A 13,850-nucleotide genomic window follows, 5' to 3' on the forward strand; every position below is an offset into this window, starting at 1 on the left:
GATAATGATAGTGGTTATTATTTGTATCATTTTATTAGCAATGCCTCTGAGCATCCTGTAACTCTGATTTGTTTGACAGTTGACATGGCATGTTTAAATCACAGAAAAATTGGCTGGTAGAAAATAATGCAGCTGTAACAGGGTTTGGTACATTGAATTTCACTGACATTGCTACTTATGAAAGGAGAAATAACTCTTTTTTCTCGCTTCATCACTTATGATTAGAGGGCCCAGACAGTTCAAGCAATATAGTCAGTGCTCAATATATTTTACTATTCTTTCTCAAAGATAAATTCCTGTCCTGCTGGATCTATTTCTATTGTTTAAAGGGGAAGTGCTGTCATGTTCCGTAAGTATATGAAGGTAGACGAATGACAATGTTCATAACTTGGAGAAGAGACTGACCACATCCTATCACATCTCTCTGAATGGATGCAGGGACTGTTCCAGTGACTTAAGGAAAACAGACTTTGTCCAGGAATAATGAATGACTTTTCTTGTCTCCACTGCAGCAGTGAGTGAAGGACCAACTACCCAACAACCACCTATGCTGCCCCCATCTCAGCCTGAGCATTCTAGCAGCGAGGAGGCACCAAGCAGAACCATCCCCACAGCTTGTGTTCGACCAACTCACCCACTCCGCAGCTTTGCTAATCCTTTGCTACCTCCACCAATGAGTGCAATAGAACCGAAAGTCCCTTACACACCACTTTTGTCTCAGCCAGGTAAAGTACTCGGTTGTTCACCTTTAAAATTCTTATTATTATTGGTGCCTCTATTTAAGTGCATGAGGGTGCTTGAGAAGGCCTAGATGTCATATATCTTTTCAATGCTGATTACATGCCCAGTGTGCTCATTTTTGTTACTGATGCTTGTAGTGTAACCCTTAATGACCCACCTCCCAAGCAACTGATTGGTTGTAGGTGCTTTTCATCCCTTTGGAAAGTTGTCCATGAATCCTGGAAGCCAGTCCACCATTTTTAATATGTGCTATAGGTGTGCTTGCTAGAGAATACTGGAAACATTCCTGATTCCCTAACTTCATTCTGCCACATGAGTTCTAAGCGTTAAAGCTAGACTGCAAGACTAGATGTAAAGGTATAAAAATCTGCAAAACCACTTTTTAGAGAAATCATAATTCTAATTTGTGCCTTTCAATAGTCATTTCTCAGGAGTTCTTATTTATTTCAGAGTACTAGGCCACAAAGAAATGTCAGAACCAGTGCTGAGTACAACTCAATTAATTTTAAAAATGAAGAAACTAACTAACATTTAGATTGATAGAAAGTAAAATATCTATGGTCCTTTCTAAGAAAATAAGATGGCAGGGATGGGAAATGAGTCCCAGATTCCCAATGCAGTATTGATTTTATTACTTCAGCTAGTATCCAAATTGAGCTCCATTTTGTTTTTGTTAGGGGTTGAGGAGGGGGAGAGAGAGGCAGAGACAGAAGAAGGAGGAGAGGAGGAAAAGAAGAAACAGGTAGAATGAATGTCAATAGATAAGTAGAGATAAATAAATAATAGTACTTAAAATTATTTGGAATATTAGAATAATTCTTAAAATCCTCAGTATATCAGGCATAAGATAGTAAATTTCAGTAATCTGAGATGGCCTCCTTGATGAGCATAGGCAGCTGAACTGGGCTAATCTACATTATGCTCATACATTTGACTAACTTTTCTGTTACTCAGACCTACAATAATTTATTTTGTTGCATTAGTACACAAGCCACATAATGACTGTAAAAGCTAGAAAAATGATTGTCTATGAAGTATAAATATTAATTATTTTATATTAAGAATGTATCTAGTTGCTGGGATGACATTAGTTGATTTGTACACATCACCTCTGATGTTCTCAACATTCACATGATGTGCAATATGGATACTCAGCTACACAGCCCCTGGGAGGTGGAGTGGAGCATGAAAGCATGTAGGATTCCATTGGTTGGGACGCACGTTCCACTATGGAGTCTTCCTTGACACATAGGCTCAGCACAGGTCATGATTTCATTCTACAAGAGATGGCCCTTCTCACCCCAGCAAAGCCCACATAGGGACTTAAAAAGGTCTGTATTGCCCAAGCCCCTCTCTCCACCCTCCCATGCATACACACTCCACACATACTACATTATGGGGAGGATCTGCTACTTTATATGGCCCCAAAACTATGAAGTCTTTGATAATTGAGGCAGAGACAACTTGAAGCAAGAGCATTCATTTACTGAAATTCTGGTGCCAAGAGTATGCTTCCTTGTGATTTCTGGCTGCATCTGTTTCCCCACTGCAAGCACAACCCAAGGAAACAGACCTTGAAGGAAACTAGTATTCAAGATAGTTGACAGCTTAATTGCAACTGCTAACAATAACGAGCCTTTAATGAATCTTTAATGCACCTGCCTATAGGACAGGCATGATTCTGAAGGCTTATTACATCTCATTTGATCCTCTAAACAACTTTGTAAGGTAGCTATTAGTCTTAACCCCATTTTAGGCACAAGGAAACTGAGACACAGAGAATTTAAGTAGCTTAAGTCTACATAGCAAGTAAGTAATGCATCTTTTCCCTGCTCTCCTGGGTTCTCAAATTTTAGAAACTCATTTGTGCCTCTTAGTTTATGTCTAACTTGTTTAATAAGAAAAAGACTAATAAAACGACTAAATCATTAAATTAAATCATTAGAAGAAAAAATCAAGAAACATCTTAAAATAATTCTGAATTGAAGAATATATTTTCTCATCAGATTTCTTCACTCACATTTTAATGAGGAAAGGTAAGAACCTTAACTATTCTATAGTAAAGAGGACCAATTTGGTAGCAACAAAAAGTAAAGTGCGGTTGCAGCAGTTTATGCTGTTAATGTTCTCTCGGCTTGCAAGTAAAAACTTTAAGAATAAAACAGCTGAAAATGACATTCTGGAGGCTACTATGGCTACTTTAAATGAAAAATTTTACTGCACCAGTGATGTTTAGTTTGGGACACAAGATTTGGAAGTCAACCTATGCTCTGAAGTGCTACAATAACAAAAGGATACAATTTTTTTTAAAGAAGATTTGATGATAGATGGAGCAGAGAATTGGCATTTTTTTACTAGTTATTTTCTTCTAATTACATTAATGCCAAAGCTGCCTAAAACAAAATCTGATACAATGCAGTATAAGTGGATTATGTCCTTCATAGAAGGGAAGTAGAATCAGTTGTGCTGTTTCTATACTAATTTCATCAAATAATAAGCATGTCTGAAGAGCCAAAGAACCATTCTCTGATCTAATGGCAACAAGGCAAAATCTCGTTTTCTTTTATTTTCATGGTACCCTTAAGATCCTTCTTTTGTTTTTATTTGAACTATTTCTCTCAAGCCATCTCTTCTTTCCTATTTTCAGATATCTCTGGCTAGAGTTTTTGTTTGATTTTATGTTTTTTATAGCTCCTCTTTAAATGCCACTCCTCTCCCCCACTCAACTGGAGGCATGCCCCGCCATCCCTTTGGAATTATTAAATTCTTTTTCCTTTAGTGTTTCTCTCTTATTGTCTTCCTATGATTCCTGTTCATTTCATAATGTCTTACCTCATGATTTTCAAATAAGTTCTTCCTGCATTGCTCCTGACACATGGTAAATAGCATGCTTTTTAAAAGGGCTAATGTTTACTTATTCTGATAGAAAAAGAAAATTAGCAGACTGACAAATGTATTAGCTGTGACATTAACTACATGCTTCTTAGACTTAAAGATGAAATACTTAGAGCTTTCAACAAGTTTTGATTCTAAGAAAATCATTACTTTCCTCAAACCGATTGATGAAGTAAAGTCATTCTCTTGTCAGCTTTTAAAAAAAATACCTCAAATAATTTTACTGTGGATTTCACAAGAAAGGACTGCATAATTAGTGATGAATTTATCTTTACTTACCGCAAGTAATTACTTTAGAATATGGTAATGTGAGGCATTGCTCTAATTTTTAAAAATGAGAAACTTCTACTTTGAAAGCTTTGAGATTAGGATCAAGGAAGAAGCTCTTTCCCCACTCAAATTCCTGTGTGTGAATTTGCTTTTTTTTTTAAATTTATTTTATTTTAGGTTCTGGGGTACATGTGCAGGACATGCAGGTTTGTTACATAGTTAAACGTGTGCCATGGTGGTTTGCTGCACCTATCAACCCATCACCTAGGTATTAAGCCCTGCATGCATTAGCTATTTTTCCTGATGCTCTTCCTCCCTTCACCCTACCCACCGACAGGCCCCAGTGTGTGCAGTGTGTGTTGTTCCCCTCCCTGTGGATTTTCATGGGCAACACCATCAGTCTGTGCCTTAGTTTGCCTCCCAATAAGGCACACAGAGCTATGCTTGCAGCAGTTTTACATGGGTCTAGGGCAAAACATATTATGCAGTAATAGTCTCCATGGGGTTGCAGAGCATTTTGCAATATTTTTATAGTAAGCAGTAATTAGAAAGCCATTCTGTTGTCATAACGACTGAAATTCTGCTTACCTGAAAACAGATTCATTTCCTCAATTTTTTTTCCTTCCACCTGCTGAGTTAAAAATGTAACTTACAAGACTCTAGGGTATTTATGGTGTTTCTTACAATTTCATCATCACCTTATAATAGAGTGCTTCCATTTTTTAATGCTTTATCTATAGACGTGAATAACCGTGAGATCTTTACACATTTCATGGAGGCTGCAATCACTACACTTTGCAAATCACAAATGTAGACATGTAAGTGATTTGGCTTAGTCCACTTTCAGGTTAAATAGAAAATGTTTGATAGAGTATTGGGCTTATTGCATTATAGATCTGACATAAATTTTACAAAGGGCTAAGATAGGGTGTGTGGGTTTTTTTCTTCTTTACTAGTTAAAATTCCTTTTAGTGATCAGCTGCACTTTAAATGAACCTGGGTTAGGAGACCATTTGTCTTCTAGAGATGTAATTCTAAAGGGAAAGAAAATGTGATCTCTTAAATAGTGACCTTTATATCATAATACTCTTTTATAACATTAGCCCCCTGGACCTCTTGCAACTTTGTAAAACTCCATAAGCACTATATTTTCCTTCATTTACACATTGCATTTTACACACATATATTTATAAAAGCAAAACTCCAGAGCATTCTGATCTTTTCCATCTTCAAGGGATCAATATGTCAGTGGACATGACAAGTCCAAAACTCACTTCATTGTACTGCGAAATTGAGTTTGATTTTCCCCGTGCAAATTGTGGCATGTGCTTTAATTTGTCTGAGGACTGAAGACAAGGAGGGGGTGGAGGTGGCTGACAGTGGACAGAAAAGGCGTTTGATTTATATTTTATGGATGGTTGGGAAATCATGTATTCCTGCTGTAACCTGATCTTTTTGGCAGGCCTTATTTCAGTAAATCTGCTATCACACAAAACTGCCAATAAATTACTATAATGCCTTAATACAATTGCTTTCCCTGAGCCACTCGTAGGCTGCCATTGCGGGTATTCATCAAGAATACCACACGAGTGTTCCATTCTGCTAAAATCAGCCACAGGCAGAGGTCATGGGAGATCAGACATCCTTTAGAAGGTGACACAAGACGGTCATTTTAAAGGCCAGTCAGATAGAATAAATCATTGGCACAGCTAAATAGGAGAGATGTGTTGATTTGCTGTTATTGAAGCCAATACTTCCAATCAATGCTATAGTGGAAAATTACACTACATCTAAGTTTCATCTCATGTGAAAGCTATCGGTGTGGCTTTTTGGTAGACATCTCCTTGAAATTTTCCTGTCCTCACTCCTAACAGAATTAGGATGATTCGATTTGGTCTGGTCATCCTAAATTACCATTGGTAAAATGTAATTAAGGCAAATTTAAGTATCAATAATGTTTGTGACTCTGGAACCTACCTACTTGGTGGCTTAATAAATTAGTATTTCCTCTGAGGTTTTAGAAAATAAATATTAATAGGAAAAGAGCTCTGTTAATTGCCCAGAGGAGAGAGAAATAATTTCTAGAAGAGTCATTATGCGTAAGCCAAGTAATTGATGCCCTATTTATAAGTGACAAAGCAGAGGCCTAAAAACGTTAGGTAGCTTGCCCAAGGTCAACAATTGAGGTGACAGCCAAATGTAAAGAATTTGGAGAAATGTTTTTTTGTTTGTTTGTTTGTTTTTTTAACTAACTTTGAAGATAGATAGATACAGGATTTTACCTAGCTTTTTTGTGATGTTAACAGTTATTCTTAGAGTGACTTTTTCCCCCCCTAAAAGGGGTCTTCTAGGATCCTAATAATTAAATATTCTTTAGGAGGAACTACATCAGGTAAGTTAAGTCATTTAGCTGAGTGTTTGAGTAAACATTTTATTCCTTTATGTTGGCATTACATGGAGAGGAGATGTTATAGCAAAAGTAGCAACTAGCTGGAGCACTCTGGAATAGCTGCCATCTGCCTTTAACTCACCTGTCCAGTCTGTCTGTCGAGTATCCCTCTACGGTAAGGCAGGAAGCCAGGGGCTGACATCTGACATCTGTTGCTTTCACCATCACTGATGGCCAAGGCTTTAGAAACAAATTAAAAAAAATAAAGATGAGCATAAAGAAGTATATAAGAGTTTAAGGCATATGGGACTATTGCTTACAATGGGAGTTGGAGAGTGTGAGCATAGGTCAATGAGAGCAAAAACTGAACAGCTAGTATTTTTCAGAATTGCAAAAACTTCTTTTGGGGAGGGAGTGAATGACTGCAGTAGAAAAGTTTGAGTCCCTTTTATGAAAGGTTTGCCCAATTACAAGAAAATATCGCATCAAGAATTGTTAGACCATATATGAAACTGAAGTTAACTATATCAACCTAATACAATGAAACTCTGAGGTTAAAGTATTCAGTGGCCATCCAGATAATCGTAAGAGAAAGTGAAAAATAATAAATAATCTATTTTCAGAACTTTGTAACCTAATAGAAGACATAATTCGAAACATGTAAGCTACAAAGAATGTACTTGGATTATACTGCAGAGTGGGTGGCCGCATGAGTGACAGAAGGAATGGTGAAGGAAAGGTGGGCAGTAGGTTGTTTTCAAGGCAGTAAATATTCCTTTTACATTTCTTATACACTTGATGGGTCACATGGTTAACTACTGCTGTATAGATTTTGTTGTTGTTTTGAAATATTTTGAAAATAAAGCATCTTTTTAAAAATCAACTTACATAAAAGTAGTAAGGCTTATGCTTTATACTTTGTCACCTTTTTATAGTTTACAGAGGACATTTCCAAATAAATGTATATCTACCTGAGAAGTAACTTTGACCAGCATTACCAATACAGAGGTCAATATTTAGAGAGGTTGAATACCTTTCAACTTTTCCAGGGTCATGTGTCATTATTCTTAGGACCTTCATCGCCACCCTTACATATGGTGGACACTCGAATGTTGGTTGAATTGGTCAGAATATAATAAAATAATTAAGGTGAGAGCCAGAATTTGACTGCAGTTCTTCAATTTCAAGTCTAATAATGAGTTTAGACAAACCAGAGCGACTTGTAAGTTTGTAAGGATTAGATATCAGGTACTAGAAAAAGATAAAGGCAGATACGATGAAATAACTTACAAATTCATGAACATTTTATAACATGTTTAATAATCTGAACTATAAATAGCATCTTATGCTAAAGCCAAATAAATTGCATAGAGTGGAAAAGACACTTGAAACCACAGCCCTCGGAAATTCAGTGGTTTATTTTTATGAAAATAAACAGACATGCAGTGGCCTCCATAAAGAAGAATAGAATTCTCTGCGTTCATAGAAAGGAGGCGGCCAGGTGTGGTGGCTCACACCCGTAATCCTAGCACTTTGGGAGGCTGAGGCAGGCAGATTGCCTGAGCTCAGGAGTTCAAGACCAGCCTGGGCAACACAGTGAAACCCCATCTCTACTAAAATACAAAAAATTAGCCGGGCATGGTGTCATGTGCCTGTAATCCCAGATACTCAGGAGGCTGAGACAGGAGAATCACTTGAACCTGGAAGGCAGAGGTTGCAGTGAGCCAAGATCATGCCACTGCACTCCAGTCTGGGTGACAGAGCAAGAGACTCCATCTCAAAAAAAAAAAAAAAAGGAGGAGGAGTGTGGATCAGTGGAAGTCAGTCAGAGTCCTAAGGACTAGTCTCTCCATCATGCCAACTACAGAACTGATTTTGCTCTTCTGAATCTCACTTTTCTCATCTGTGAAATCAGATGGTCTTTCCTCTTTAAGGAGGAAGGAAACATGAAATTCTACAACCTCAGTTACTACAGAAATAAGGGTAGATATTCTCCCTTTCTCCTTTTTGTTTTGTGAAAGACTATGAGTAAGAGAAAGGTTTTAATTTGAATATTTTGAGACTCATGGTATACATTTTAAGTATTCTAAGTAGTTGACAGATCTTTAAAGTTCTTCAATGAGCATCAAGTTACAGTTGCTTTCTTTGGCAGCAAGGGGAAATGTTGAAATAAAGTGCTCACATAAACCTCTGTGCTAATGGACTATTGAAAATGTGTTATGAAAAATCTAACATACTGAAAGCAAACAAAAAGTCTCTGTCATATTAAACAGTTTAACCATCAGCAACCCATTTCTAAAGACATGACCTGTAGTACCTAAAAGACTGTGTGAAAAACAGTCTTCGATTTGAATGTTTATAACTCTTATCTTACTAGCAGGGACTTATAAACGAATTCAGGTGTCATGTTAAACATCTTGTGTGTGTTCCAGCATTGACTTTCATCTTAGGCTTGCAGGAGGACTGATGTTCTTATCTCCAGGATCTCCTTATTTACCGGAATATCAAGGCTCTTAGAGGAGAATGCCTTTATCTTCTGTGGTAAAAGGGATTCTACAAGCTTTTTTGGTGGAAAACAATGATAAGTAAGCCCTATTCATGAAACCGTATGCCTCTCATTTTGAAATGAATAATTGCACGTACAGACTTATAAGAATAATGGCACTTATAGTGACTGCTATTTTTAATGTCTTTTTCAAAGTGCTCTTCTAAAACATTCTTCTTTGACATTTCTGATTCTTTTACCCAGCAAGTTTTATGTATTTTTCTACTTCTGAGGTCACCTGAGTAAGAATTTTCTAACAGATACCACTTTTTTTTTTTTTTTTTTTGAGATGGAGTCTCGCTCTGTCACCCAGGCTGGAGTGCAGTGGTGCAATCTCTGCTCACTGCAAGCTCTGCCTCCGGGGTTCACGCCATTCTCCTGCCTCAGCCTCCCGAGAGCTGGGACTACAGGTGCCTGCCACCATGCCCAGCTAATTTTTTTGTATTTTTAGTAGAGACGGGGTTTCACCGTGTTAGCCAGGATGGTCTCGATCTCCTGACCTTGTGATCTGCCCGCCTCGGCCTCCCAAAGTGCTGGGATTATAGGCATGAGCCACCGCGCCCGGCCGAGACCACATTTTTTTTTTAGACAGTCTCTTACTCTGTCACCCAAGCTAGAGTGCACTGGCTCAATCACAGCTCACTGAAGCTTTGTCCTCCCTGGCAGTGGTTATCCTCTCGCCTCAGCTTCCCGAGTAACTGGGACTACAGGTGAGCGACACCTCACATGACTAATTTTTGTATTTTTTGCAGAGATGAGGTTTTGTTATGTTGTCCAGGCTAGTCTCAAACTCCTGGGCTCAAGTGATTTACCCACCTCACTCTCCCAAAGTGTTAGGATTACAGGCATGAGCCACCGCGCCTGGCTAAGACTGCATTTTTTTAAACCACGATAACCTAGTATGCTCTTGAGTCAAAAATTAACTTTTAGTTTTAGTGTTGCACTTAAAAGAATATAGTTATTTGTTTATTTTCTTTTTGGCTACGCTCTGAGTGGTACCTCATTTAATAGAAACAGGCTGCTTGGTGCACACATGCCTGAGCTGACACATTAGAATACTTGATAAATCTGGAGAACACATTGCCTGATAAGTTGAGCCCAGTGAAGTTTTCATCACCTTATGAGAGACGGTGAGCAGAGGAGGTCAGAGCAACTGCTCAGAGCTGTCTGAATGTCGTTCCCTTAGTCTAGAGAAAAGAGTGGCCTCTTTCATTTGGACAGGGCTTGCTCTCAAATCATAAATGCATTTGACAGCCAGGAAGCCATTTTCACTGTCTCACTTAAATGGTCACACTGCAAATGATCCCACCACATTACAATAGCATAGGTCCCCAGTAAGGCCTTATATCCAACAGGTGTACAGATTAGGTGGTCACTACCTGGCTTCTTCTCTCTCATAAATACTGCATCTCCCGACTTGCTCCTCACAATGGACCAATTTAATGTGATTAAAGCTTCTGGAGTTTCCTAGATCCCAGCTCTAACTTCCAGTTTAGCTATTCCCTGCACCAACTCTCTGCAAAGAGAATCAATAGCAAAGCAAAGAGGGATAAGAAGTGAGGAGTAGGAAGTAAGCTATTGAAAGTGAGAAAAAGAGGTTATTTCTCATTGAGCACATGTAAAACACTACTGATGTCTTTGTCTTCTCACTGAAAAATTATACATTTTGTTTTTATTAAGCATGTTACAGTATGGGTAATGTCCAAACATGATTTGAGATATAAATATTAACTTCTAAGCTCAGCATGGACATGGCTATCAAAAGCAGTGTTTCTCAAGTTTTGTGTGCCTGGGAATCACCTGCAGACATTATGAAAAGGCAGATTTAGATTTAGCAGATCTAGAGTAGAGCCTGAGGTTCTGAATTGCTAAAAAGATTCTAGGCTTTGCTGAGGCTGACCCTCTGCAGATTAGATTATGAGGTAGTTTGGATTCTGAACAGATTGGATGCTCTTAACCTGGGGTTCATGGAAGAACTTGTGGGTTTGGTAACTCACTTGAAATTAAATGGATATTTCTCTGTGGGTGTGCCTGTACATTTTTCTAGCAAGTGAGTTCATAGCATTCATTAGTGTCTCAGATGATTTATTATCTATAACAGGTTAAGAACCACTTGACCTGCTGTTTTGTCATCACCCTCAATGTAGCTCACCTGTGGAACATAAACCAATGTCTGTTTTTCTTTTGTTTTGTTTTTCAAGATCAGTTCCAAAACCTTGTACTGAAACAACTTTTCTGAATCTGAGGCCAAAAGCTGAGTACTTGTGCTCTACTCAAATGAAACTCTGCAAAATTTATTCATTTTCATAGAAACACCTGAGGCTTTGTACATTTTTCAACATGTGATGAGGGAATTAGTTAAATTAGTATTTATAAATTTGTCCTTCTTCTGCAACAATCTCTTATTTTTATTGCCTAAATGAACATCAGTAGATCAGAGCCACCGCTGTCCATGGTATATTTTCTCCAAAAGATGAGCTCCTGTGGGGAAATGGGATGTGTTGTCCTTCGAAAGGGGTCATCCTAACCTGTCCTTAGCACCCCTCAAATGGTACACTGAAAAGCACTTCCTGCAGAGACTTAATGACTGCACACACATTTCCCCAAACATGACTCATCATTTAATAAAAATTTCCCATTCAGCCAGTGTCACCCCAGGTTGAACAGCATATGCAATCTGTAAAATAAATTTTAATATTTTTTCTGGTGGTAGGGAGGGTAAGTGAACCCATGAATAGTGATAATGTTAAATCACAGAGAATGGGAGCTAATTAAAATAAATGTTTATTTGAGCAGTCAAGTAGTTCAATTGTATTCTATAATTTCCCAGAAGATATTATCATAAATCATTTATTGGGTATAAAAATGCCGTAAGTCAAAAGAGTATGTGTTTGAGGAGGCTGGAGAGTGCTAAAGAGGAGTTGAGAGAAAGGAGTGCAAAAACAAGAAAGATATTTGAAGACAGTTTTCATCCTTTGCATTATTCAAACTAAAGAAGCTCTAAAGCCAAGTACTATGTTTGTTTGTTATTCTTTCCCAAGACTTCAGAAATTTTCACTTCCATGATACTGTGATGTTTATATTTATATTGGCTCCCCATTTAAACTGGAACAAGTCTAGCTGGGATCAACATAGAGAAGACAGCAGGAATATGCTGATTTACTCCTATTCCTTCTTCTACCTCTTTCATCACCCCCTGCCACCATCCCACACTATAACTGCTGTCTCTTCTCCTTCTCTCTCACTCTCACATACTCCTCTCCTCTAAGATTGTCTGGCCTGTTCTGTTTCACTCAGCTTTCTATCAAAGCCTACCTTGTAGAATTTTTTATTTTTGTCTAAGAAAGAACATATAATTTAAGCCTTACTTATCAGCTGAGTGGCTTTGAACAAGTCCTTTATCTTCTTTGAATTTTGATTTTCCTATCCCCAAGGCATGAGCAATAAGGTATGCTTTAAAAGTTCTATTTTAAAGAACAGATAAGAAAATGTAGGAAAAGGTGTTTTACTGCAGTTTATGTACCTGTAGGTGGGACAAAGGTTACCTGTTTTACCCTTTCTCTCTCTAGGTTTTAGTTTATAAAAATAATAGAGACAAGGTACTGATAACCAGATGGGAATCAAGGATTGCAGAGAATCACAGCCTTTTGGAAAATGGTAGGAGTAGGTGGAAGACCTCTTCCTCCCTCCCTGACTACAAGAATATTCGACCTGCTAGCTGTAAACTGAAACAGACAGTAGAGAGGTGGCTGGGACTTCTGGAGTCAGGCCTTGCCTTGTTTGCTTAACAAATGCAATTCTTGTGAAGTTTAAGGATAGAGGGTCGAGAAGCCAAGATGGCCGAATAGGAACAGCTCCGGTCTACAGCTCCCAGCGTGAGAGACGCAGAAGACGGGTGATTTCTGCATTTCCATCTGAGGTACCGGGTTCATCTCACTAGGGAGTGCCAGACAGTGGGCGCAGGTCAGTGGGTGCGCACACCGTGCGCGAGCCAAAGCAGGGCGAGGCATTGCGTCACTTGGGAAGCGCAAGGGGTCAGGGAGTTCCCTTTCCGAGTCAAAGAAAGGGGTGACGGACGGCACCTGGAAAATCGGGTCACTCCCACCCGAATACTGGGCTTTTCCAATGGGCTTAAAAAACGGCGCATCATGAGAGTATATCCTGCACCTGGCTCGGAGGGTCCTACGCCCACGGAGTCTCGCTGATTGCTAGCACAGCACGGCAGTCTGAGATCAAACTGCAAGGCGGCAGCGAGGCTGGGGGAGGGGCGCCCGCCATTGCCCAGGCTTGCTTAGGTAAACAAAGCAACCAGGAAGCTCGAACTGGGTGGAGCCCACCACAGCTCAAGGAAGCCTGCCTGCCTCTGTAGGCTCCACCTCTGGGGGCAGGGCACAGACAAAAAGACAGCAGTAACCTCTGCAGACTTAAATGTCCCTGTCTGACAGCTTTGAAGAGAGCAGTGGTTCTCCCAGCACGCAGCTGGAGATCTGAGAACGTGCAGACTGCCTCCTCAAGTGGATCCCTGACCCCGACCCCCCAGCAGCCTAACTGGGAGGCACCCCCCAGCAGGAGCACACTGACACCTCACACGGCAGGGTATTCCAACAGACCTGCAGCTGAGGGTCCTGTCTGTTAGAAGGAAAACTAACAAACAGAAAGGACATCCACACCAAAAACCCATCTGTACATCACCATCATCAAAGACCAAAAGTAGATAAAACCACAAAGATGGGGAAAAAACAGAACAGAAAAACTGGAAACTCTAAAAAGCAGAGCGCCTCTCCTCCTCCAAAAGAACGCAGTTCCTCACCAGCAACGGAACAAAGCTGGATGGAGAATGACTTTGACGAGCTGAGAGAAGAAGGCTTCAGACGATCAAATTACTCTGAGCTACGGGAGGACATTCAAACCAAAGGCAAAGAAGTTGAAAACTTTGAAAAAAATTTAGAAGAATGTATAACTAGAATAACCAATACAGAGAAGTGCTTAAAGGAGCTGATGGAGCTGAAA

General features: G+C 39.3%; 2 protein-coding genes across 10 annotated transcripts in view, besides 4 other annotated features; one reads left to right on the forward strand and one right to left on the reverse strand.

Annotated features, from left to right (window-relative positions):
• Window positions 1-13,850, forward strand: part of DCC (DCC netrin 1 receptor) — a 1,195,703-nt gene that overhangs the window by 1,158,589 nt on the left and 23,264 nt on the right. For all 5 annotated transcript variants that reach the window (NM_005215.4, XM_017025568.2, XM_017025569.2 and 2 more), the window contains one exon: window positions 513-725. In NM_005215.4, the coding sequence (NP_005206.2) occupies window positions 513-725 (213 nt within the window). The remainder of the gene's footprint in view (window positions 1-512; window positions 726-13,850) is intronic.
• Window positions 1-13,850, reverse strand: part of LOC124904304 (uncharacterized) — a 266,099-nt gene that overhangs the window by 17,951 nt on the left and 234,298 nt on the right. For 4 of the 5 annotated variants that reach the window (XR_007066375.1, XM_047437986.1, XM_047437987.1 and 1 more), the window contains one exon: window positions 6,438-6,535. Coding sequence is in view for 3 of the 5 variants with exons in the window: in XM_047437986.1 (XP_047293942.1) it covers window positions 6,438-6,535 (98 nt within the window). In the remaining 2 variants the exon portion in view is untranslated. Of the gene's footprint in view, window positions 1-6,437; window positions 6,536-7,328; window positions 7,415-13,850 lie in introns of those variants that run through there. The other variant, XR_007066376.1, reaches the window with a different exon arrangement.
• Window positions 12,126-13,325: an enhancer, noted in NCBI's record as "BRD4-independent group 4 enhancer chr18:51037281-51038480 (GRCh37/hg19 assembly coordinates)". NCBI's record gives its function as "activates an origin of replication core promoter dependent on BRD2, P300/CBP, MED14 and CDK7 cofactors, and independent of BRD4, by STARR-seq in HCT116 cells {active_cell/tissue: HCT116}" and the evidence as "EXISTENCE:reporter gene assay evidence [ECO:0000049][PMID:35650434]".
• Window positions 12,126-13,460: a biological region, named in NCBI's record as "BRD4-independent group 4 enhancer GRCh37_chr18:51037281-51038480".
• Window positions 12,327-12,893: an enhancer, noted in NCBI's record as "NANOG-H3K27ac-H3K4me1 hESC enhancer chr18:51037482-51038048 (GRCh37/hg19 assembly coordinates)". NCBI's record gives its function as "activates a minimal SCP1, AML or CMV promoter by ChIP-STARR-seq in naive H9 embryonic stem cells {active_cell/tissue: H9 hESC(naive)}" and the evidence as "EXISTENCE:reporter gene assay evidence [ECO:0000049][PMID:30033119]".
• Window positions 12,894-13,460: an enhancer, noted in NCBI's record as "NANOG-H3K27ac-H3K4me1 hESC enhancer chr18:51038049-51038615 (GRCh37/hg19 assembly coordinates)". NCBI's record gives its function as "activates a minimal SCP1, AML or CMV promoter by ChIP-STARR-seq in naive H9 embryonic stem cells {active_cell/tissue: H9 hESC(naive)}" and the evidence as "EXISTENCE:reporter gene assay evidence [ECO:0000049][PMID:30033119]".

Source organism: Homo sapiens, chromosome 18, assembly GCF_000001405.40.
Source record: "Homo sapiens chromosome 18, GRCh38.p14 Primary Assembly".
Taxonomy (NCBI): Eukaryota; Metazoa; Chordata; class Mammalia; order Primates; family Hominidae; genus Homo; species Homo sapiens.